The following is a 27,257-nucleotide window of genomic DNA, read 5'->3' as shown; positions in this document are numbered from 1 at the left end:
TAAACTAGTACAGTCATTATGGAGGTTTCTCAAAACATTAAAAACAGAACTGCCCTATGATCCAGCCATCTTTTTTTTTTTTTTTTTTGAGTACTCTCCACAATATAAAAAGGTAAGAAAAGTTACCACCTACCGTGATTCAGAAGGTGTGTAGAGGGGAAGAATATATAAAGTGATGAATTACGTCAGTCTAAATTATATAGCACAAATAATGGAAGAACATAAAATGTTTTCATCACATCACATAGAACTCCAAAGGAATATTAGCAAAAACTAACCTGACATTGACAACATAAAACTGCTGCCGCAAATGTTCGCTGCTCTTTTCTACTCAAAGAACCGTCTTTTGGCTTTGCTGTTCATCTCTATTAAATATTTGTTTCCTGTTTCAGCAATTTTTCAATAAACTATTTATAAGGTCCTTGCATCATTCTTGTATCTCTTCAAATGATATTCCTATTTCATATTATTTTAGCCTATATACTGTTCAAATGTAACTAAATGCAATACATTTTTTTCATATACAAGATTTTAAAAGGATAAATATTCTTCTAAGTATCATTTGATCAGCATCCCACAATCTATATCAGTAACGTTTGCATTATTATTCAGTTCTAAGCATTTTTATTAATATGGAAATATTATATGTTAAGATTTATTTACCCCATATTATATTTCAGTGTTTTTATTTTTTCTCTTCAGTCATATATACTACATGCCGATTACATGTTTCTTCTATCATTTTGAAGTTTTGTACTTAATTTCTCTAAATAGCTATTAAAAATTATATTTCACTAAAATTTGAAGTAAATTTATCCAACTTCTTTTCAAATAATGCAATGTCCTTAACACACTATATTTAAACCTTTAAACATTTCTCAATAACAAAAATTTATTATCCACTACTCTTATTTTATCTAAAAGTCATCAATACAGTGAGGACATTTCAGTTTTTGTGTCAACAATTGTTTAGATTTACCCATGCATTTACAGATTTTATCTTCACTGATTATGCTTTTCAGTCTTCATTATAAGACAGTTTTCTCTCTGAATTTAACATAAAAATACCACAAAACAGGAATGGATGCCACAGACACCATGTTTTTTTGTTTTTTTTATTTTTTTAGAAAATTCTCTCATTGTAGTATCATTCTGAAGTGATAAAGATAATTTTTGATTACTCCTCCAATTATTGGTCCTGCTTAAATAATTTTACCAACCAAATCTTTACAATTTAACCTACAATTTTAGGAATGTTGAACTTCTGTTTTGGTAGTCCTAATCAAAGTTCTTAAAGTAACTTTAGTTGTTTACAATCTATTTTCCTTTTGATGAATTTATCTCAATTTGTCTCAGTACTTTACTTCGAACTACTATTGGTTATTCCAGGAAGTTATCTGAAGAATTGAACTCCAATTTAGATGTCAACTCTCTGAGAGTCAATTCATTCATTACTAACAATAAAATCCCTACTTTGTAAAATCAAATTACGTTGGTGAACTTATATAAAGGGTATAATAGCTCAAAATATCACATTTGTCCACAATCCCACGCTCTGCCTTTGTACTCAGTAATTTACAAGGCCTGATTTTATTATTTAATTTGTAAGCCTAAGCTTCGGGCAATTTTACAAATGTCCAAGATGTTTTGTGGCAGGTGTTTTACTGTTTAGAATATTATTTGTGAGAAGAACTGATAACTGATAAACACTCAGAAAAGTTTTGATACTTAGTCAAAACACACATGTTGACTGTCTTTAGGGTAAAAATGCTCACTGATGTTAAAGCACACATTACAGTGAAGATGGCAGATGAGTGCTTCACGCATTGTATACTCAAGTGTAATGAAATATATGGTAAAGGCCCAAGCAGGCCTAATTATTGTGTTCTGATAAAAGTGTGGGTGCTTCCAGGGGAGACTACTATGATAGAGTAAATTATAAGGAATCACTATTTTAAATGTTATAATTGCTGCCGTGGTTGTTGGTAGCTAGAAATTGACAAGGGACCATCTGCAGTGCCCTTTTACAGTTTCTTCTATTTCTTGTTCCAAGAAATAGATACGATTCTGTGTTGTAACGGCTTACTTTCTATATGATCCCTGATTGCATGATAGCTTCTTATGCAAAAATATGAATTCCCAACCTTGCTATTTTTTTGGTCAAGAAACTGGTTATATCGGGCGGTGGGGGGGAGCAACTTTTGAATTTTCTATTTTCTCCTTCCATTTCCCCAGGCTTGGTCAAAGAAATTAGAACAACTTTACTCCGAGGCTTTATCTTAGTATAAGGCTTACAGTTATTGAGAAAAGCACAGTTTTGTTAAGAGAATGGGAAAAAAAACCACTTTGAATCTAAAGTGTGAATCAGTAATAAGCACAGTCAAGTACTGGGAGAGAGGGAATAAGCAGGAAATGTGAGACACTGACTGAGGAAAAGGACACTAAAAGAAGGATCTGGAGCCCTGGGTGGCAGTTTTATGCAATGCAAAATTGTGCCGGCCCTTAATTCAGCATCTAGGGAGCTAACAAAACCTTCTAAAATGTGTTTAAAGGCTCATATATTCCAACAGCAGTATATAAAGAGGCTATGAGATAAAACTTCATGATTGTGGTGTTACAGTACACAAGCTAATGCTGGAGACTATGCACCTTTAGTTTCTCTAGCACCTACTTCGTCTTTCCTCCTGCTCACTCTTCTTTTCTTTCTCCTCTTTCTTCTCATTTTTTTCTTCTTCTCTTGTTTCTTTCCTTTCTTCTTTAACGAATATAATCACAAAAACAAGCATCTGGAAGGACCCTTGAAAAACATATTGTCCTTAATGTACTTAACGACTTTATTTTTACACTTGAAGTCTCGAATCTAAAACTAGCAAATTTGTGCAAAGAAATATTAGGTGAATCAACTTTCTCACATAAACAGTAATTAACTTTCAGATCAGATAGAACCAAATTCTATACCTGACAAGCTCATAAAGTGTTAAAGTAATAAAGAGAATTTTAATCTGGCAATGAGAAATACATCTAATTTTTTAAAATTTTTATATCTTGAAAATGCTCTGTTGATTCAGGTAATTCAACATAATTCAAACGGAAATGCTTCCAAGAAAAGTAAATATAACTTATTTTATCAAGCGCCAATTTTGTATTTAAGGAGAAGCAAAACTGAAGGCACAGTTTTAAATTTGTATTTTAAGATTGTTGGCACAGAAAAAAAAAAAGAAACTTTATCTCTTTATTTTAAATTAGACTCATTCACCCACAACTAGGAGTCCACTTTAAGTAGATTGTAATAAAACAGGATTTTAAGGTTAAATTATATTATTAAATTAAGCACCTACTCTGTTACAAGAACTATTCTAGACCTGGAAACTTCAGAAGGAATAAGGCTGAAACTTTTTTTTTTTTTTTCTTTATTGTAGTTTCTAATCCAGCTGTAATGAAGACAGACAACAGTCAAATTAACAAGTAAGTAGGAGAATTTCAGGTTATTATGCATTGTTAAAAAATTGAAATTGAATGAGAGTGAGGAACTGAAGACAAAATTCATGGTTTGGTCGGGGAGAAGCATGACATTTTCTATTTGAGCCTTTCAATTGGCTGGATAATAAATCGGTGGAGGTAAGCACATCTGATTATCCATCATGAGCAACAGGAGAGAAACTGAGTGAGTTCAAAGGAGAATAAAGCAATTAGGAAACACTTAGCTTAAGGAATTTACCATTGCTAGAAGGCAAGCTGAGTGTCTGTGGTTTCCTCTCTTGAGATGAATTTAAAGAGGACTGGTGGTCATGATATTTCAACTGCAGAGATGCACCCAGGAAAAACACAGACAAGTTATCTGTTTTGTTTTGTTAATAAGAGAAGAAAACATTCCTTGTGTTTGCAACTTTTTCTTGTAATGATGGACTTGTTATTCTAAACAGGAGGCATGAAAGATGATGTATGGTGATAATAAGATAAAAAGTAGCTGAACGCAGGATTTTAAGTCTTGGCGAGTTCAAATAAATATTGTATTCCTGGTATACAATCACTTGTCTGAAATCCTTGGAACCAAATTTGTTTCATAATTCAGCATGATTTAGACTTAAATAATTAAGTTTTTTATGGAACATCTCCAAGAAGGATTGGAGAAGAACCTGCTAATTAAATATGATTCTTTTTCTGCTCTGAACAAATGCATAGTCACATCAAATAAGAAAAATAATGACCATAAAAACGTGATGAATGAAGTCAATCATGTCAGGTTTTACCACAAAGTGAGTTTTAGCACCAAATCTATGAAAGCACCATTTTCTTTTAAAACTTTTAGTGTCTTGGAATGATAGAGATTTTGAAAGTGTTACCACTTAAGTGAACAAGAAATATAGGAGGGTGTTTCAAATCACAGGATACTTGAATTAGATATTTCAGAAATTATGCTATTTATTATACTGACAGGTTGAAAAGTTTGTCTATGAGATTGGGGGATAAAGGTGGAAAATAAAGTATAATTTTGTTGATGGGCTACACAAATTTGGAGACCAGAATTATGGGCAAATTTTCCATATGGATATGGATCTCATGGAGGAAAAGGGATAGAAAGAAATAGTGTGAACCAAGACTCAAGAACCTCATAAGTAGAAAAATGTCTTGGGTGTTTGCAGATGACAACAATGAAGGGGAAATGTGTCTATTTTTGGTCAGATATTCTTGTCTTCAAACTCTTTGGGTTTATAAAGTTTATTCTTATATTGTATTTTAGTCCTTAGAAAAATGACTCACTTTCCCATCACACAATTGAAACATGGAAAAGAAAACAGACTCAGGAAATTACATAAGTCTGTTAAATAATTCCAACAAGAAGTCTGTTAACCACCCCATCCTTCCCATTTTTGAGCAAACAAAATATCACGAGCTTCAAATAAGAGAAATCAAACTTTGGAATTAGAGCTGGAAAGTTGTATTGTGCATGCTCTCCTTGAGTAATGACAGTTTATTTCTCCCTCTTTATTTTCCCTTGATAAAAAACAAAACACAATGAAACAAAACTCCAATGGAAACTTGTATCATTCAGGTAACGTGTATGCCTTTCAAAAAATTATACATTGAGATGTATGTATATTGAGATAACAGAAAATATCATATCATCAAGTCAGATACAGGAATCTCAGATCTTACCCAATATCAAACTTTAATATTACTTTCAAAGTAGAAGTAGTTGTGAAGCACAGGTGAAATGGCAAGTCTAGAGCTACAGATATTTTTTCCTATTTTCCTTCCAGCCTCATTAGGAAACAGTGATGTCCAGCTGTATATGATATATGAGTTTCCTAAGTGCTAGATGTTATTATTGTTTACATAAAAGAAAGCCATTTTCATCAAGAAAAAAGCTTATTTTACATACCAAAGCTTTCATGACATGTTACAGGAAGCTATATTCCCTTGTCTCCAAAATCTATGGATTACAAGTTTGTCATAAGAACTTCTAGTCAAATAATCTACATTCTATTAGTAAATAGTATATTTATTAAATCTCTTTTACTAGCATATCTTTCAGGAGATTTGATCGGAATGGATTATAGGTCTCTGGATAACTCTTTTCTTCTGGAGACACTTTCTAAGCTCTGTCAGTATCTCTTTGACACATATGTCTTGGTTGTGTTTTTAATGTGTCTTAAAATTTCCTCAAAATTTTATTCAAAAAAAGATACTTCACACCTCAATGACCATCTGGACTTGAAACATAAAATGGGGTTCAGGAGTTATTGCTGTAATATTTTTATTAATAACTGTGTTCCTTCTAAGGCCTTTTAATTGTGTATTTCTAGCTCAATTTTTTTTGTTTTTATTCATAGGCATTTGAATATTTGTAAGATTATAATAGGGCATGTGGTATTTTAAAAGCCAAATGTCTTTTTCTAGCCAGTAACTCTTCATAAGTATTACATTAATTAGAGGCTTTAAATAAGCTTCCAGAAATATTCACTCATTCTATGGTTCATGCTGTACATAAGTCTGAATTACATTTAATTTTGACAATAAAATTATAACCTTTTGGTTATAACACACATGTAGCAGAAAGCAAAGCAATGTTTTACATGCCATACATCAATTAAAATTACAGTACCGTTCTTCAATTCTTTGCAGCAGAAGTAAACTTTGATCATGTACCGCATATTGCCAGTGACAGATCCTTTGACCACATGATACTGACCAGCAAGTTTAGGTTGTACTGGTTTGTGAATGTAAGCATATTTCAGGTATCTTCTACAGGATTCCATAGATACTGATTTCCAGGTGTCATGTTGGTCACTATTCATCCACTCCTATCACAACAACTTGATGATGTTTTTTCTTCCTCTATCCACTGCCAGCCAGTTGCTACAGAAAGTCAAATTCCATTTTTAATTATGTTAATCAGCTAATTCTATATTAAATATGAAGACTACATTTTTCAGAGATGTTCTGCCCTGAGACTTACTGTAGTGTTTCCATTAATCATCATCAGCTTCTGTACCTCTAGCAATCCTACCTTTTAAATATATTTGTTGCATACTATTTAGAATACCAATAGTTCTTTCTGTGTGATGGTTTAAGAAAGCTGTTGCCATTGCCAGTGGTATAATGTTCAATTACGATAATTATCCAATTAATCTATTAACTTATAGCCTATAAATCATGAACTTAATGGTAACTGTAGTTGTATATTGGTCAATTGAGACAATGGCGTGTCATGGTGAAAGGGTGCCATTTTTTATCTGAATTATCCAGATGGAATTTTTAGTTGTACCGATCTGGAATAATCTGAGATTTTGCACTATTTGCAACAAACACTTATGCCTGCCAAAATTTCATGGATCCTGGTAGAAGATATAAGATTCCTTGGTCAGAGACAGAAGGAAATATTTTTACTCCCAGTGAGAGCAAAAACCTGAGTATCAGGGGTTGTATAGAATGATTGGAAGGAGATCCAGCAGACACATGCCGATGCAGAGGGGAATTTTTAAATAAAAGGAATTATGATTTTAGGCAATCTGAATATTTCGTGTGTAAATATTTCTGCTCTTTATTCCAAAGGGATAGATGATCTCTTATCTTCCAAGCTGTAAGCAAATGTTTTCTTTGTTCCTGAAGGAGACACTATCTTCCTAGGCAGTTCCCTACATCCCTACACGAACATTCTTATAAAGATTTCCCAGAACAAAATGCAGCTGGTTCCTTACTTGCAAAGCAGCAGACACAAGAGAGGCCCACTGAAAATTTTCTCCCCAAAATATTCACTTTTTCTTTCTACACTGTCTTTACTTCTGGATAATTTTTTGAGTACGCCACTTTATTGTCCATTCTAATTTTTGTGACAGAGATGGAACCAAATACATTTAGTTTGTTCAGTACAGCATTTAAAGTCCAATTACATGACTTCCATTGTAGGGATTACTTCCTATAAAATACACACTATAAATATAGTAATCCCTATAGAAACCCCACCAATTAACCAAGAATGGTCCTTAGAGAGATCTTTACAGTCATCTTAGGACTACAGGAGCAAAAGATGATGTTTCCTAAAATAATTCAATTTCTCTTATGATCATTCCCAAATTATAGTTCACAATGTTTTAGGAAAGGAAACACTTTAATTTCTGTCTTCCACATAGAAGTACAATTCTATGATCACGCATTGTGTTTCTGAAAAGAAAGTGTAATTTAAGATTATGGAAGCCTTTCAGGTGGAACCTGTATAAGTTGAGGACTCAGTGTGAAATTGTTTCCAACTTAGCCTCTCAGCCAGCCAATCAGTGACTCTTAATTCAGGCATTCCTATTAGTTAAATGGGCAGTGTTTTGTTTCTACTGACAAAGAAACATAATGTTCAGACCATGTAGTAAGGGTGGCAGGAAGGTTTCTGGTTGCCCTATATTCGGCCCCAATGACAGTAAAGTAACCTACCTGTGTATGTGGCAGTTCCTTTTGCCAGCTATTTCTCTTAGAGGTTTTCGAATACACCACTGCTACTTTCCAAGTAAACTTCATTGAGTTGCCCTCTCCTGAATAATACCTCTCTAACATTGCACAGAACATGATCAGTATTTCTACCCTTAAAAATTTCTGATGACATTGCCTCATTGATGAGAGTATTTTTGGCCATGCCTAGTAACAACCTATCAATGGTCTTTCAAATGGACCATAACTAACTATATGAAATATCTTCTAGCATAAAAGTATCAGGTTAGCATAGTAGTCAGAAGTCAGGTAAAAAAAGAGTTACTGAGAATAAAAACATTTGCTACAAACATTTCTTTAATCAGAGTTAAGAATTTTAACTCTGGAATTGTGTATTTTTCAATGTTTACTATTGTGGTTGCCTTGAACAATTCCAGTTTCCTAATAGGTTGGCCAATTGGAACTGAGGTACAAACAGACAGCTCCTTAAAATGGATGGGGCATTACACACTGCTTATACATAGTATTCATTGAAATTATAAAATCAGACAAAGGCAATGGATCTACAAATTAGTATCTACAGTCACTATTTCTATTTTTTATTATACTTTAAGTTTTAGGGTACATGTGCACAACGTGCAGCTTAGTTACCCCAAACACCGCATGTTCTCACTCATAGGTGGGAATTGAACAATGAGAACACATGGACACAGGAAGGGGGGAACATCACACTATTTCTATTTGAAAATACCCAACCTTGACCCTATTTACTTCTACATCTGCATAAACCTCCAGTATCAAGTTCAGAACATCTTTACTGCCCATAGCTAGACCTTACTATATATTGAGCAACAATATCTAGCACACCTAAATAGGTGAGCATTAATACTTGCCCCAAGTTTTTAAAAGTAATTTGACCTAAATACTTGCATCTGCCTGAGATCTCCCATTAGAAGATGGAAGAGCAGATTTTTGACCTCTCAGTTAAACTATTTCAGATTCTAAGGTTCTAACTTGGTGGATAAGTTCTGTCTCTGTTCTAGTATTTCTGCTCTAAATCATGATGTGCTTATTTTTATTTTAATTTCTCAAGGTTAGAATACATTGAAAAAAATGTTTTTTCTTGTTGTTTTTAAATACGGAGGTAGTATCCAAATGGCTTCCCTATCCCATCAATTTTGATAATGGGCTTTTAACTCTATAGTAGAAAATCATGATAGTTACTAAGCTATTGGGTCAGTTACTGCCCTCAATTTTTTTTTATTTTTATTCAAAATGGAAAAGGTTCAGGACTATCACCACCAAATTGGAAGTGCTTTCATGCATAAATAGAGAATTGTGCAGCAAAATTCAATCTTGTCTACAAAAACAATGGGTTGAATTGGAGTGAAGATGTTCCTAAAACATTTAATGGATAACCAAAAAAGATAATTATTTATTAATAGAAGTATTGTTGTTTCAAGATCTCTCCTAAGTACCATCTTAAATTATTTCTTTTTAAAATTGGTGTTTCCTTTAGTAAGATTAAAAAAATACGTATGTAGAATTCCTGCATTGTTATTGATGGTATCATAGTTCATTTGAGTAGTGATAAGACAATGTCACAGGCCAGGTGGTATGTAAGGAACAAAAATTTATTCTCACAGTTGTGGAGGCTGGGAAGTCCAGCATCAAGGGTTTTGCAAATTTCATATCTGGTGAGGGTCTGCTTCCTGGTTCATAGAATCTTTTCTCAATATGTTCCTCATATGGAAGAAGGGACAAGGGAGCTCTCTGGAGTCTTCTTTCATAGATAATTTATCCCACATATGAGAGTTCTATCCTCATGATATAATCACCTTCCAAAGACCTCACATGTGAATACCTTCACATTAGGAGTTAGATTTCAACATATGAATTTTGTGAGGACACAAAAATTCAGTCTTATGCATATTCAGTATTTTAGATTGGAGTAAAGGGAAATTGATTTTACACCTCAGTATGACATATGATCTGATTATGGAAAATATCTTAATATATTATCACTAATTGTGCCAATATTAACTAAAGAGAGTAAGGGACCTGCTGTTTTATTATCAATAGCGTAAACATATACGGATATGTTTCCTTGTTTACCATTTACTTGAGTTCTAAGAGCTCTTGTCATTACTTTTGAAATTCAGATGAAGAAATTGATTCTTGAGTTGTAAATTACTAATCTAAGCACACATTTCATAAGTGGAAGGCTATAAGGCTAATTAAATTTTTCTGGCCTATGATCCTTTATATTATATGATGCTAGGAAAATAAAGTAAAAAACATTTCAAGAAGGTAAGAAGAATCAATATCTCAAAACTGTTTTAAAATGTACCTTTTAGTATTAGAAGCCAGGCATCCTTTAAATTTCTAGCTGACTGTAAACTGAAAGTGTTGAAACAGTATCATGTATGGAATAAATGATCCATATATTTTTCTTAATTATACACAAAACAAAATTTCACAGTATATGTGACTGAAAGCTTGTAAGTGGTAAATACTGCAGTTAACATAACTCTTCTCTCTGAAATTGAAATACACTGCAAGAATTACGCTAACAAGTAGTTCTGTACAATCAGTGAGGTATGTTTTTGTGTTTTACATAGTTGCAGACCTCTGAAATGTTTATTTATTTTGAAGTCTTCCACTTAAATTCATATGGATCTGAATAATTTTCAATCTAATTTTATTTCCTCTGGTACTGTAAAATATTTTCAATTAAGAAGTAGTATTCATCCTAATGTCATGCTGTGCTCAGAAATCACACATTTTCTAAAGAAGATGCCAAAGTAATCTGTAGGATCCATTTTCAGTTTTTTCATGATTACAGGGACTCCTTCTGTTTTGAAAATTCTCAGACCTAGCATAGCATAAGCATTAGTGGAAAAGGAATAGATGTCTCTTATGCAAATAATCATTTATGGATCTTTTGTAGGTATGCAGATCCAATATCCTCTAGGGCGAGACACAAATCCCCATAATATCCCCATGTGTACAATTTTGCATTTGATGCTTGGATTTAGCTGACAGATGGCTAAAATCACAAATAACTGAATGACTCCCTACTGACTTCACAGCTGCACTGTAGAAGCTGAAACTTGTGAATTATTGCAGGGATGGTCAGCAAGAAGCTACACCATATTGCCCATATCCATGAGTAAGGATGTTGTTTGAAATATGAGCTTGGAATTATGCATAAAAAACAAATTTTTTATGAAACAGTCTTTTTAAGGTATAATATTTAGTTTAGAAAATGGTCATAATTTTTAGCGGTTCTTGCTGTGACTATTAGGAATTTAACAGCATCAAATTAGCATAAATATGTTTTCTCATATTTCTTTCTGAATTTTTTTCTTAATGGCTTTTGTGTCTTTTTAATATAATACTCCACATATTTAATTTGAAATTAAATGGTGTATGAATTTTGTTTGAATTATACTAAGAAATTGCATATGTGTGTGTTTTTAAATTCCTGTTTATCCAGAACTTCATATAAGCAATAACTGAAATTAATCCAAAATTATGTTGATGGAAATGGTCTGAATTTTGCTTTATGATTTAAGTTAGCTTTGGAAGTTTTGCATACCACTTTTCCTGTCTTTTGGGTTGTATCTTACTTTTGCACATGAGGAAGTAGGAGACATTTCCTCATGTGCTTCTTATTTGGGAAGAAAAAGTATAGAAAATGACACTCTTCCTCTCACTACTTCATGAGGAATGAGGAGCAGAGTCTGTTTCTTGCTTTAATAATGGCATTCTATACACATTAATAAAAATGATTCCAAATATATCACATTTGTCAATTGGATTAATTTCATAAAAATAAATGAATAGGAACTAAAGGAAAATTATGACAGAAGCATATTTTTTTTTGTCCGTTAGAAATTCCTCGAGAAGGTAGAATGTTTTACACTTATAGCTCAGGGAAAGAATGTTCACATGGCAAAAGTGGTTTGTGCCAATCTCCCTCAATCTGTTGTTTTGAGAAACCATGCAACCATGTGGTTGGTAAACTGTAGCAGAGACTGCACATGATTTTCTGTTATAAAGACAAGATTTCCAGGACTCCCTTTCTGTGGAGATATTTCCATGTGGCCACATTTTAGTCAATGAGATGTAGGAAAGTGCTCATTAAAAACATTTAGTCATTAGGCAGGTCCCATGGCTCATTTTCTTTTTTCTACTTTATTTTCTGGTATGCAGATTAAATATTACAGTCACCAGTAGCCATCCAATAGATTATAATAATGAATCCCACACATGGGGATGTCAGGATGATGAACTGGAAAGAACCTGTGTTCTTGAGCATTGGGGAGCTACAATCCTAGTCTTGTTCTTCCACCTTCCTTCATTTACATGAACAAGAAATACACTACTGTTATGTGAAAACTTATGTTGAACTTCACTGTTTCTTGCACTAAGTTTAACCCTAAGTCAATATCTAAGCCTGCAGTAAACATTTGAGAAAGCAACATATTTTTTCCCTTCCATCTAATTGAAATTCTGTATCCTTTGACCAACATTTCCTCAATTCCTTTGCCACTTGGTGCTCCCACCAACAGCCCCTGGTACCCATCATTCTTCTTCTAAATTTAACTTAAAATTTCTCATATACTTGAGCATTTGTATTTATCATCCTGTGCCTGGTTTATTTCACTTAATATAATGTCCTCCAGGTTTATCCATGTTGTCACAAATAACAGGATTTAATTTATTTTTATAAGTGATCAATATTCCCTTATGTGTGTATACCATGTTTTCTTTATTCATCCATTGATAGACAAGTTGATTCCATATCTTTGTTATTAAAAATAATGCTATAGTGAACATGGGTGTAATGATATCTTCGATATACTAATTTCATTTCCCTTAGATATATAGCTAGTAGTGGGACTGCTGGATCATATGGTAGTGATATTTTTAGTTTTATAGTAACCTCCATACTATTTTCCAAATGGATGTACTAATTTACAGTCCCACCAACATTGTTCAAGGGTTTACTTTTCTCCACATCCTCACTAACACTTGTTATCTTTTTTTTATATAATTTCCATTTTAACAGTTCTGAGATGATGTCCCACTGGGGATTTAATTTGCATTTACCTGATGACTAAAGATGTTGAGACTTTCTTAATATATCTGTGGGTGATTAATATGTCTTTCTTTGAGAAATGTCTAGTCACACCTTTTGCCCATTTTTAAAATCAGGTTATTTGTTTTCTTACTATTGAGTTGAGTTTCTTATATATTTTAAATATTAACCCCTTATCAAATGTATGGTTTGCAAATATTTTCTCTCATTCTGTGCATTGTCTCTTCACTCTTTTGACTGTAATGTTGGTTGTGCAGAAGCTTTTTAGTTTGATGTAATATCATTTGTCTATCTTTGCTTTTGTTGTTTGTGATTTTGGTTTCCTATTCAAAGATATCATTGCTAAGATCAATTGCATGGAGTTTTACCTTTTTGTTTTCTTCTAGTAGTTTTACAATTTTCGGTCTTATGTTTAAGTCTTTAAGACATTTTGAGTAGATTTTTGTATATGATGTGAAAAGAATGTCTAATTGTATTCTTCACGTGTGAATATCCAGTTGTAGAAACAATATTTATTGAAGATACTGTTATTTCTCCATTGTGTATTCTCATCAATGTATTGTAAATCAATTGATTATAAATTTATGAATTGAAGTTTCTATTCAGTTCCATTGATTTATGCATCTATTTTTATACCACTACCATGGCTCTTTTGGTTTCTATAGCTTTGTAGTATATTTTGAAGTCAGGTAGTGTGATGTTCCTGCTTAGTGTGATGTTCCTGCTTTGCTTATTTCACCGACAATTGCTATTGAGAATCTTTCATGGTTCCATATGAATTTGGGGATATTTATTCAATTTCTGTGAAAGATGACATTGGAATATTGATAGGGTTTGCATTGAATTTTTAGATCCTTTTGGGCAGTTTGGAAACTTCGAAAATATTAATCTTTGAATCCATGAATGTGAGATAACTTCCCATTTATCTGAGTTTTCTTCAATTTTGTTCACCAGTGTTTTATAGTTTTCAGTATATACCTCTTTAACATTTTTGGTTGTTTTTTCCTAAGTACGTTATTTTTTCATAGCTATTTTAAATGGTATTGTTCACTTGATTTTTATGGGGGGGCTGATAGTTTATTGTTAGTTTATAGAAACACAACTGCTTTGGGGATGTTAATTTTTATCCTGCAACTTTACTGAATTCGTGTGTTAGTTCTAATAATTTTTGGTGGAATATTTAATGTTTTTAATATGTAATTATGTCACCTGCAAACAAGGACTATTTAGCTTTTTCCTTTCCAATTCAAATGCCTTTTATTTCTTTTTCTTTCCTGATTTTTTTTTTTTTTAACTAGGTCTTCCATTGCTATCTTAAATAAAAGTGGCAGAGTAGGCATCTTTGTCTTGTTCCTGGTCTTAGAGGAAAAACTTTCAACTTTTCACTGGAGTTTCATGTTACCGGTGGATTTCTTGAAGATGACCTTTATGTTATGTTGAAGTTTGTTTCTTCTATCTAAAAGGGAATGATCCTTTTAATGTGCTGTTAAATTTGGTTTGCTAGCATTTTGTTGAGGAATTTTTCATCTATTTTCATTAGGGATGTTGGCCTGTACTTTTATTTCTTGTAATGTCCGTGTCTGGCTTTGGTATCAGGATAATTCTGGCCTTGTAAAAAAGTTTGGAATTATTCCCTTTTCAGTTTTTTCAAAAAGATTGATAATTATTGGTATTAGCTATTCTTTAGCATTTGGTAAAATTCAGCAGTGATGTAATTGGGTCCTGGGCTATTACTGATTAAATCTTTTCTTGATATTTTCTATTCAGATTTTCTATTTCTTTGTGATTCAGTCCTGGTAGATTGTATGTATGAAGAAATGTATTGATTTTCTCCAGATTATCCAATTTGTTGGCATTTAGTTATTCATATTAGTCTCATAATCTTTTGTATTGCTATGGTATCTAATATAATGTCACCTCTTTCATTCCTGATTTTGAGTCTTCTCTCTTTTATTCCTAGTTTAGCTAAAGTATTGTTGATTATCTTTAAAAAAAAAACATTTCTTAGTTTCATTGATCTTTTCCATTGTTTTTTCTAGTATCTGTTTTAATTATTTCTACTTTGATATTTATTATTTTTTCATTCTGGCAATTTTGCACTTTGTTTTTATTTTTTTAGCTCATTAAAAAAGTTGTTTATTTAAGATCTTTTACCTCTGTTGAGGTAGGTAGGTGTTTATTGCAGTAAACTTCCCTCTTTGAACTGCTTTTTCTGCATCCCATAAGTTTTGGTATGTTGTATTTCCATTTTCATTACTTTTAAGGTATTTTAAATTTCTCTTTTAATTTATTCATTGATACATTGGTTGTTCAGGAGCATGTTGTTTAATTTTTATGAATATATGAATTTGCCAAAATTCCTCGTTATTGATTTCTAGTTATATAACACTGTGGTTTAAAAACATACTTGATATGATTTCAATCTTCTTGAATTTGTTAAGACTTATTTTCTTACCTGTGATCTCTCCTGGAAATATTTTGTGTGTGCTTGAGAAGAATTTGTATTCTGCTGCTCTTGGTCAAATGTTCCATATTTGTGTATCATGTTCATTTGCTCTAAAGTGTAATTTAAATATGACATTTCCTCAATATCTTTTCTCTGAAAATCTGTCTCTGGGTATTGACGTCCCATACTGTTATTGAATTGTACCCTGTCTCTCCTTTCTATTAATATTTGGTTTATATTTTGAGGTGTTCTGATGTTAGGTGCATATATATATATATACATATATATACACATATATATATACACATATATATACACATATATATATACATATATATACACATATATATTTACAGTTAGATAACTTCTTAAAGAATTGACCTCTTTATCACTATATAATTAACTATTTGGGGTTGGAAGCTCTTAGTAAAATCCTTCTTATAGTTAGAAGAGACTTGGCTTGTTACCACCTATGTCTCAACAGGGAAATCTTGTTGTCTATATGCCATTTTCATTATTGAGATGTTAAAGGGGGGCAAACATTTACCATTAACTTGGCCTGGTTGAATTCTGTACCAGTTTGGATTCCAGAAAACAGAGTCAACTGATATATAACAAGCATATGTGCTGTATAAATGGGGGATGATTATATACTAAATTTAACTTAGTGTAAGAATTAAATTAGAATTTCTATCTTTCTAACCAATTCACCAATATAGGACATTGAATAACCAACTTAAGGAAAATTTGAATTTGAATGGAGGATAAACCTTTGCTAAATTATTTCCTTAGGGTAAAGGAAAAAAAAAGAGTAACGAATAGAAAGTATGAAAATATATCATTTAAAATAAAAAAGGACATGTATTTTATACATAGGAATGAATAAATCATGTACATACAAACACACAAGATCTAAATGAACTAAGCTACATACCACATGTATATATAGTAGTAGGAAGACTTAGTATCATAAGTTTCATACATATATGTATTGCAACAAAATGTAAAACAAAAAGACACTTTTAAGAAGAGCAAGGTGGCATGATATATACTATTGAATATTAACATACATTATCATTACAAATTACAAAATGTTTAAGACAGTGTGGAATAGTTCCAGGGATATAAATTAATGAAAAGTAATAGAGAAAGACATATGCATATTATCATTTGATGACCTATTTAATTGTGATGCTGGGTCAATTGTTTTCCTATAGAACTTAAAAGAAAACCAAATAAGTGCCTTATCTCATGCAAAAATATAAATTCTACATTGATTAATAATCTGTGTATTCAAAATTTACGTGTGTAAAGCCACATTACTTGAAAAGTTAAACTTAGTGTTTTGAGTTGGCTAGGGAACAAGAATCAATGCGAATGATATGGGTAAGAGTTTATTTTAAAGATTAGATCTTTCACGTTTTTTGAAAAGCTAAGATGCTAAAGAGCTAAAAAGGATCGATTAGAATATAAGAGACACCATTAACCAAGAACAACACGTGGTGCTAGTGAAGAAGTCCATGGAAGGTGGTTGTCTTCATATCTGGTAGTGGACTTGGAGTCACTGTATGGTGGCTGATAGTCAAGAAGAAAAGATGTATGCAAAGTGAAGAGAGTAAGTTCAGAAATCATAAAGACAAATTAAAATCTTGTTCTCACTGCCTCTACCCTTGACATGACAGCTGATCAGGAGGAGAAGTTCATACTCCTTGAGCTGGATCTATCTGCACATGCACCTGGCCCAGGAAGCTGAAATGGGAGATCTGATGAGCAGTGGAGGACTGAACCAAAGCCCTTGGCTTTTGCTCCATACCAGTCAGGTGAGCCTGCAGATAAACCACAAGATGTGCAAGTGTTTGCTTACTTGCAATAATACTCACAGCTTAACAGCTTAACTTCTGCCTTACAAACCTAACTGAAAACAAAATAAGAAAAGTCTTATTGCCAACCTAAACACAGAAAGGAGTAAGGAAAGGGTTACTACAAGAGGAAAAAAGAAATACAAACTATAAAGTTAAAGTAATGAAGTTAACTAAACAAAATTAAAATCTTCTGTTTCTCAAACGACAACACAAAAATTAAAAATACATGCTGCAGCCTGAACAATATATTTGCAGTGCACACACTCATGTAGATTAACAGTTACAATATAAATGTTCATATAAAGGTATGTGCCAAAAGAAAAAAATAAGAGATATGATGAAATAATTGATAGATCAGAAGTTGAAAAGTCAGCAAATGTTTGAAAATATACTCAACCTCATAATATCCAGTTAATATGCTTTGGAAATGTATGTGGTGACCTCAATTCCATGTGATTGGTGGAAATTAAATAGTTCGATGAAACCAAATGTTGTGAATATGTGGAACAATAGGATACCTCAAAAACTGGTAAGTGGGAAATCCATTAAAATATGCACTAAGAGAAAATTGGGGCAATACCTAGGAAAGTAAAATATTGTCATAACTTTGGGTCCAGCATTTCTACTCATGGTTATATGTTCTATAGACATCATCATCCTTGTGCAAAAGTAGATTTGTACAATGTTTTTATTTTATCATCGTTTGTAATTACAAATATCAGAAAGGAACAATCCTCTGAAGAACAGGAAAGTTGTGCCTTCTTTGCCAAAGAAATTTTTATGAAATTCCAATATATTTGTGGACATATCAACATGAATAAATTATCAAACATACTATTAAGCCAAAATACGTGAGTATATAGAGAATAGGTTATACAAGAAAAACAAAAATGAAATTAAAAGCTATTATATGATATATTTTAAAAAATTACATCCTTTATATGTGTATCTAGTAACTAAACAAAAAATTCAATAAAAAGATACATTTAAACCTCTAGATGACTGAGCTAGAATCAGGAATCCAATTCCTGAGCTGATCGGGAATCCAATAGTAATTTATTTTTAATTTGTAAAATATAATTTGTAGATCTTTCAGGAGATACAAATGATTGATAAATTATTATTTATGCTCTTTTTATGTGGTGATATAAATCAGCCAACCTTCTGTCAATGAACAGCCATGGAAAGCTTGCATAAGCAGTGACTAGACGTTCATGGACAAATTGCATAAATCCATTTCTTTAGCATGAAATTCAGTCTCAAGATGTAAATTTTTTATAACTATTTATTCAGTGAATTAACTTTTCAAATATACACCCTTACCTCCAACTTATCTTCCACTCCCACTCCAACAAAAAAGGGGGAGAGAATAACATGCTAGTGGTGGATTTTAGATCAATTTTCCTTATGTATTCGCATCAGCACCTCTGGAGGGGTTGCTATAAAACATACTGCTGGGCCCCAACCCTAGACTTTCTAATTCGATAGATCTGACATGAAATGACTTGTATGTCTAACAAGTTCCACATGATGCCCATTCTCCTGACCTGGAGGCCACTCTATGCCTGCCACTCCATGAGACCCAGGCAAGCAGCACCAGCAACAGAAAGAGCACCGTAGGCTTATTACAAATGCAGAATTTCTGGCTCCAACCCACATCTGCTGCACATGTTTTGTGTCATTTTTAATATAACAATGCTTTTTTAAAATACAGTTTTCTTTTACAATAGTTTTCTAATTACAGAAAAATTGTGAAGACAGTACAAAGAGTTCCTATATATTTGACAGTTTCCCTATGTAGTATCTTATGTTGCTGTAGTATACTTGTCACAATTATTGAACCCATACAATATGTTATTAAATAAAGTTCACAACTTATTCAAATTTCCTTATATTGTATTTAATATTCTTTTTGTCTTCCAGAGTCTCATCAGGATATCATGTTGCATTGAGTAGTCATGTCTCCACAGGCTTTTCTTGGCTGCGACTCTTACTCACGTTTTCCTTGGTTTTGCCCACCTTACAGTTTACAGTAGTGGTCAGGTATTTTGTAGTATGTCCCTCACTTGGGCTTTGCTTGATGCTTATCTCCTGAGAAAACTAGGGATATGTATTTTGGGGAGGAAGGCCACAGAGATGAAGTGACATTCTTTTCACATCATATCAATGCTACATACTATCAAAAGGGCTTATCACTGTTGATGTTAATTTTAATCACCTGGCTAAGATATTCTTTTTCAGGATTTTGACTTTAAAGTTACCCTTTATGCTTTTCCTTCTCATAAAGTGCTCTTTGAAATGAAGTCACTCTGTGCAGCAGACATTTAAAAAGCAGGAAATTATGGTGACAGAGTATCTGTATAAATTATTTGCAGTTCTTTTATTTTCAGAGTTTGGAATTATAGCACTCCTATAAATCTTATTACTAATGGTGCCACAAATTGTGTACTACTGATATGTATTAGTGCACAACTTAAAGCATGTGGACATGAGCTGTATTTGAAAAAACATTCAGATGGAAGAGCTACCTGATTTGAAGTGAATCTTAATTGGAACTTAATGATGCCTCCTAGTAATTTACTATTTTAGCTGAACCTACAGTATCAGCTGTAGCCCAGAAAATATAAGAGCTACAATTCGTACAATTCAACATCAGCTGCCAAGGCCCACCTGGACTGCACCTGCAAAACCAGCTGTGGTTTCTTTGCTCTCACAATTCATGTCAGTGTTTTTCAGCCAATGCATCACTGGTTTCGAATTTTATACTGTTCCTCTCTCAGTCCTCCACCCCTCTAGTTTCTAAATGATAGAGAATAATTAGGTGAGGTTTAAACTCTCAGGATTATTCAGGGTTTGTGGAGAGTAGGAAGGTTTCTTCCAGGTTACAGCACAATTTAAGGAGCCTGGCAAGAAGCATCCAATATTAGCAAGTAGAAAAGCAGCATAAGTATGAGGTTGGAACTTCCCACGATACTTAGTACATGGAAAAAAATGTAGAACATACCAAAAAAAAAGCAAATTGTAAAAAAATTTCACAAATAAAAATACTGTTATGAAAATTATAATTCACATTTTTAATATTTTTTATTGTAAAATGTATAAAATTTGCCATTTAACCTCTTAAGTGTACAATTCAGTGGCATTAATTGTATTTACAGTTTTGTGCAACAATCACCACTATTTTCAAAAATTTTCATCAATCCAAACAGAAACTCTGGCAATTAGTAACAACTCCCCATTTTTTATTCCTAATCCATCCCCTAGTAAACTCTAAATCTTGTCTCTGTGAATCTCCCTGTTCTAAATATTTGTATAAGAGGAATCATACAACATTGACCCTTTTGTGTCTGGCTAATTTCACTTTGCATAATGTTTAAAAGCTTCATCCATATAGTGACATGTATGAGAACTTCATTTCTTTTTTATGGCTCAATTATATTCCACAGTATGCACACACACCCCATTTTGTTTATCCATTCATCTGTTGATAGACACACGTGGGTTATTTCCTCCTTTTGGCTGTTATGAATAATGCTGCTATAAACACTAGTGTGCATTTATCTGAATTCATGTTTTACATTCATTGGGATACCAAATTAAAATGCTGGGTCATATGGTAATTCTGTTTAACATTTTAAGGTATCACCAAACTGTCTTCCACAGCAGCTGCATCATTTTAAATGCAGACCAACAAAGTATGATTCTCCAAATTTCCCAGTTACTCGTCAACTCTTGTTCTACATTTTCTAACTATAGTGATACTAGTAGGTATAACATTATGTCATTGTGATTTTGATTTGCAATGGCCTAAAAACTAATGGTTTTTTAATAACTTTCATGTTGTACTCATTGGCCATTTGCATATCTTTAGCAAAATGTCTATTCAAATCCTTTGCCTGTTTTTAATTGGGTTGTTTTGTCTTTTTGTTGTAGAGTTGTAGTTTTTTAATGTCTTGATATAAATCTCTTACAAGATACATACTTCACAGTACATTATCTCATTTTGTAAATAAGTTATTTCACTCTCTTAGTGATGTTTTTATTATCTAAAGGTTTTAATACTTTTTAAAACTTGTACTGTGAATATGATATGCCCTGTGATTAACAAATTTATTTATTACTTAAACAACTTAATTTTTAAAAATAATTGCATGAATATTTTTGTCCTATTTGTTCCATTCCTACTTCGTGAACACCAATTATCTGTTTGACAGATTGTCATTTTCCATGCTTCATACAAATTCTTTTTTCTTCTGCATTTTTTTCTTTCCAATCTTTGTGAATGTATTTAATTTTCTTGCCTTGATATTCTGACTAGAACCTCCAGTATAATTTATTTATTTATTTATTTATTTTTTGAGATGGAGTTTTGTTCTTGTACCTCAGGCTGGAGTGCAATGGCAGGATCTCAGCTCACTGCAACCTCTGCCTCCTGGGTTCAAGCGATTCTCCTGCCTCAGCCTCCTGAGTAGCTGGGATTACAGGCACCTGCCAGCACACCCAGCTAATTTGTGTATTTTTAGTAGAGACAGGGTTTTACCATGTTGGCCAGGCTGGTCTCGAACTCCTGACCTCAAGTGAACCACCCACCTCAGCATCCCAAAAATGCTGGGATTACAGGCTTGAACCACCGCACCCAGCCTCTCGTATAATATTAAATAATGGATGTGTTCCCAATCTTAGGGACAAGCAGCCTTTCACTATTGCGTACAATTTTACTTATACATTTTTATTTCTATATTTTTAGCTTTATTGAGATAAAAATATTAAAAATTCAAGGAGCACATGTAGATTGCATATACATAGCAGAATTATTACCACAATAAAATTAATTAAAATATCAATCCACTGAATTTATTTACTATTCACTTGTGTGCACTGGAGAGGACACTTAAGATCTACTCCCTTAGCAAATGTCAAGTAAGTATTACACAATTTTTTATTATAGTCACCATGCTATAATTTAGATTCTAGAACTTACACATCTTATAAGTAAAACTTTGTACCTTTGACCAAAATCTCTTTATTTCCCCCATTTCCCACCCTTGGCAACCACCAACCACCATTCTACTCTCCGCTGTTGTGAGTTAGATTTTTTTTTAGATTCCATGTATAAGTGAGATCATACAGTATTTGTATTTTTGTGTTTGGCTCATTTCATTTAGCATAATGCCCTCATTTTATAGCTGAATAATATGTCACTGTAATAAATACATACACACACACACACAACCATATGAAGATTTTGGTTTGACTTGCTTTTTTTCTTTAAGATGTAAAGTTAGGTTGTAAATTTAAGATTTTTCTGCTTTTTAAAATTTGTTGGTTATAGTTAAAATATATCTCTAAGTACTGCATTTTCTATGACCCATGTGACTTCATATGTGTTGTTTTTCTTTCATTTCTCTCAAGACATTTTCTAATATTTTCTAATTTCCCTTGTGTTTTATTCTTCGATCAATTTGTTTAAAAGTTTGTCGTTTAATCTTCATATATTTGTGAGTTTTCCAGTTTCTGTTACTAATTTCTGGTTACAATTTTTGTGTTCAGAAGGAAAATACATTGTAATATTTAAGTCTCCTTAAATTTGTTAAGGCTTGTGTTTTGGTGTAAGCTATGGTATATGCTGGAAAATGTTCTATGTAACTCTTGCCCTATCTAGAACTTCCAGTTATATGTTGAATACAAAAATGGGTCTTCTGTGTTGGGCGGAATAGTTTGTGTATATATCTGTTAGGTTTAATTGGTTTATTATATTGTTCATGTCCACTATTTTCATACTGGTTTTCTGTCTGTTTCTTCATCTCATTATTAAGAGACATCCAAGTGCTCTTTTGGTGACTGTTTTCATGAGCTATCTATTTTTATTATTTTACTTTTAGCCTCTTCGTGTCTTTGGATCTAAAGTAAGTTTCTTGTAGGTGGCACATACAGATAGATCATTTCTTTAAATTGTTCTACTAAACTTTGCCTTTTAATTGAAGATTTGATGCATTTTATTACTTATAAGAAAGCAATTACTTAACATTTATCCATTTGTTTTATGTTTGATGCATATGTTTTTTGTTTCTCAATTTTTCAATTATTTCATTTTTGTAATTAGTTGATATTTTTGTAGTGTACCACTTTGATTACCTCCTTTCTCTTATGTGTATTTTAATTTTGTAGTGGTTACCTTGGGGATTACAATTAAGATCTTACTTAAGATCTTACATTTATAACAACCTAGTTTTAATAACATCAACTTTATTTCAGCAGTATACAAATACTCTGCTTCTACACATCTTCATCTACGTCTCTATATTGTTGTCACTGACTACATCTTTATACATTACATACCCATTGACAGAAGTTTATAATTATTGTTTTGTGTTTTTTATTGTACTCTAAGTTTTTGGGTACATGTGCACAATATGCAGGTTTGTTACATATGTATACATGTGCCATGTTGGTGTGCTGCACCCATTAACTCGTCATTTAACATTAGGTAAATCTCCTAATGCTATCCCTCCCCCCTACCCCCACCCCATAACAGGGCCCGGTGTGTGATGTTCCCCTTCATGTGTCCATGTGTTCCCATTGTTCAATTCCCACCTATGAGTGAGAACATGCGGTGTTTGGTTTTTTGTCCTTGTGATAGTTTGCTGAGAATGATGGTTTCCAGCTTCATCCACGTCCCTACAAAGGACATGAACTCATCCTTTTTATGGCTGCATAGTATTCCATGGTGTATATGTGCCACATTTTCTTAATCCAGTCTATCTTTGTTGGACGTTTGGGTCGGTTCCAAGTCTTTGCTATTGTGAATAGTGCCACAATAAACATACGTGTGCATGTGTCTTTATAGCAGCATATTTTATAATCCTTTGGGTATATACCCAGTAATGGGATGGCTGGGTCAAATGGTATTTCTAGTTCTAGATCCCTGAGGAATCGCCACACTGACTTCCACAATGGTTGAACTAGTTTACAGTCCCACCAACAGTGTAAAAGTGTTCCTATTTCTCCACATCCTCTCCAGCACCTGTTGTTTCCTGACTTTTTAATGATCACCATTCTAACTGGTGTGAGATGGTATCTCATTGTGGCTTTGATTTTCATTTCTCTGATGGCCAGTGATGATGAGCATTTTTTCATGTGTCTGTTGGCTGCATAAATGTCTACTTTTGAAAAGTGTCTGTTCATATCCTTCGCCCACTTTTTGATGGGGTTTGTTTTTTTCTTGTAAATTTGTTGGAGTTCTTTGTAGATTCTGGATATTAGCCCTTTGTCAGATAAGTAGATTACAAAATGTTTCTCCCATTTTGTAGGTTGCCTGTTCACTCTGATGGTAGTTTCTTTTGCTGTGCAGAAGCTCTTTAATTAGATCCCATTTGTCAATTTTGGCTTTTTTTTGCCATTGCTTTTGGTGTTTTGGACATGAAATCCTTGCCCATGCCTATGTCCTGAATGGTATTGCCTAGGTTTTCTTCTAGGGTTTTTATGGTTTTAGGTTTAACATTTAAGTCTTTATCTTGAATTAATTTTTGTATAAGATGTAAGGAAAGCATCCAGTTTTAGCTTTCTACATATGGCTAGCCAGTTTTCCCACCACCATTTATTAAATAGGGTATCCTTTCCCCATTGCTTGTTTTTGTCAGGTTTGTCAAAGATCAGATAGTTGCAGATATGCGGCATTATTTCTGAGGGCTCTGTTCTGTTCCCTTGGTCTATATCTCTGTTTTGGTACCAGTACCATGCTGTTTTGGTTACTGTAGCCTTGTAGTATAGTTTGAAGTCAGGTAGCATGATGCCTCCAGCTTTGTTCTTTTGGCTTAGGATTGACTTGGCAATGCGGGCTGTTTTTGGGTTCCATATGAACTTTAAAGTAGTTTTTTCCAATTCTGTGAAGAAAGTCATTGGTAGCTTGATGGGGATGGCATTGAATCTATAAATTTCCTTGGGCGGTATGGCCATTTTCATGATATTGATTCTTCCTACCCATGAGCATGGAATGTTCTTCCATATGTTTGTGTCCTCTTTAATTTCGTTAAGCAGTGGTTTGTAGTTCTCCTTGAAGAGGTCCTTCACATCCCTTGTAAGTTGGATTCCTAGGTATTTTATTCTCTTTGAAGCAATTGTGAATGGGAGTTCACTCATGATTTGGCTCTGTTTGTCTGTTATTGGTGTATAAGAATCCTTGTGATTTTTGCACATTGATTTTGTATCATGAGACTTTGCTGAAGTTGCCTATCAGGTTAAGGAGATTTTGGGCTGAGACAATGGGGTTTTCTGGATATACAATCATGTCATCTGCAAAGAGTGACAATTTGACTTCCTCTTTTCCTAATTAAATATCCTTTATTTCCTTCTCCTGCCTGATTGCCCTGGCCAGAACTTCCAACACTATGTTGAATAGGAGTGGTGAGAGAGGGCATCCCTGTCTTGTGCCAGTTTTCAAAGGGAATGCTTTCAGTTTTTGCCCATTCAGTATGATATTGGCTGTGGGTTTGTCATAGATAGCTCTTATTATTTTGAGATACGTCCCATCAATATCTAATTTACTGAGAGTTTTTAGCATGAAGAGTTGTTGAATTTTGTCAAAGGCCTTTTCTGCATCTATTGAGATAATCATGTGGTTTTTATCATTGGTTCTGTTTATATGCTGGATTACGTTTATTGATTTGTGTATATTGAACCAGCCTTGCATCCCAGGGATGAAGCCCACTTGATCATGGTGGATAAGCTTTTTCATGTGCTGCTGGATTCGGTACTTCCTGGTTTAGTACCCAGGAAGCACATCCAGGAGGGTGTATGTGTCGAGGAATTTATCCATTTCTTCTAGATTTTCTAGTTTATTTGCATAGAGGTGTTTATAGTATTCTCTGATGGTAGTTTGTATATATGCACCCAATACAGGAGCACCCAGATTCATAAAGCAAGTCCTTAGAGACCTACAAAGAGACTTAGACTCCCATACAATGATAATGGGAGACTTTAACACCCCACTGTCAACATTAGACAGATCAACGACACAGAAAGTTAACAAAGATATCCAGGAACTGAACTCAGCTCTGCACGAAGCGGACCTAATAGACATCTACAGAACTCTCCACCCCATATCAACAGAATGTACATTCTTTTCAGCACCACACCACACCTATTCCAAAATTGACCACATAGTTGGAAGTAAAGCACTCCTTAGCAAATGTAAAAGAACAGAAATTATAACACACTGTCTCTCAGACCACAGCGCAATCAAACTAGAACTCAGGATTAAGAAACTCACTCAAAACTGCTCAACTACATGGAAACTGAACAACCTGCTCCTGAATGACTACTGGGTACATAATGAAATGAAGGCAGAAATAAAGACGTTCTTTGAAACCAATGAGAACAAAGACACAACATACCAGAATCTGTGGGACACATTCAAAGCAGTGTGTAGAGGGAAATTTATAGCACTAAATGCCCACAAGAGACAGCAGGAAAGATCTTAAATTGACACCCTAACATCACAATTAAAAGAACTAGAGAAGCAAGAGCAAACACATTCAAAAGCAGCAGAAGGCAAGAAATAACTAAGATCAGAGCAGAACTGAAGGATATAGAGACACAAAAAACCCTTTAAAAAAATCAATGAATCCAGGAGCTGTTTTTTTTGAAAAAATCAACAAAATTGATAGACTGCTAGCAAGACTAATAAAGAAGAAAAGAGAGAAGAATCAAATAGATGCAATAAAAAATGATAAAGGGGATATCACCACCAATCCCACAGAAATACAAACTACCATCAGAGAATACTGTGCTTTTTCTTTAAATTCATATAGAAAATAAAGAGGAGTTTCAACCCCAAAGTTTAGTAATATTGCCATTTAAATTTACATATGTAATTACCTTATCATTTTTTAAAAAATTATACAAATTTAAGTTGATGTCTAGA

At 33.2% G+C, this 27,257-nt stretch overlaps 2 long non-coding RNA genes across 2 annotated transcripts in view; one reads left to right on the top strand and one right to left on the bottom strand.

The window, feature by feature from the left end:
• MIR4500HG (MIR4500 host gene) overlaps nucleotides 1–20,402 on the top strand; it is a 226,977-nt gene extending 206,575 nt beyond the window's left edge. Inside the window, exons 4-6 of the long non-coding RNA NR_033829.1 lie at nucleotides 3,420–3,465; nucleotides 17,156–17,293; nucleotides 19,259–20,402. This is a non-coding gene — a long non-coding RNA (MIR4500 host gene). The remainder of the gene's footprint in view (nucleotides 1–3,419; nucleotides 3,466–17,155; nucleotides 17,294–19,258) is intronic.
• The window catches only part of LOC105370302 (uncharacterized), a 112,367-nt gene continuing 103,115 nt past the window's right edge, over nucleotides 18,006–27,257 (bottom strand). Inside the window, exon 6 of the long non-coding RNA XR_931625.3 lies at nucleotides 18,006–19,435. This is a non-coding gene — a long non-coding RNA (uncharacterized LOC105370302). The remainder of the gene's footprint in view (nucleotides 19,436–27,257) is intronic.

The sequence above is a fragment of the Homo sapiens genome, chromosome 13 (genome assembly GCF_000001405.40).
Source record: "Homo sapiens chromosome 13, GRCh38.p14 Primary Assembly".
Taxonomy (NCBI): domain Eukaryota; kingdom Metazoa; phylum Chordata; class Mammalia; order Primates; family Hominidae; genus Homo; species Homo sapiens.
The sequence above is the reverse complement of the archived record's forward strand: the minus strand, read 5'-3'. Positions and strand labels throughout refer to the sequence as shown.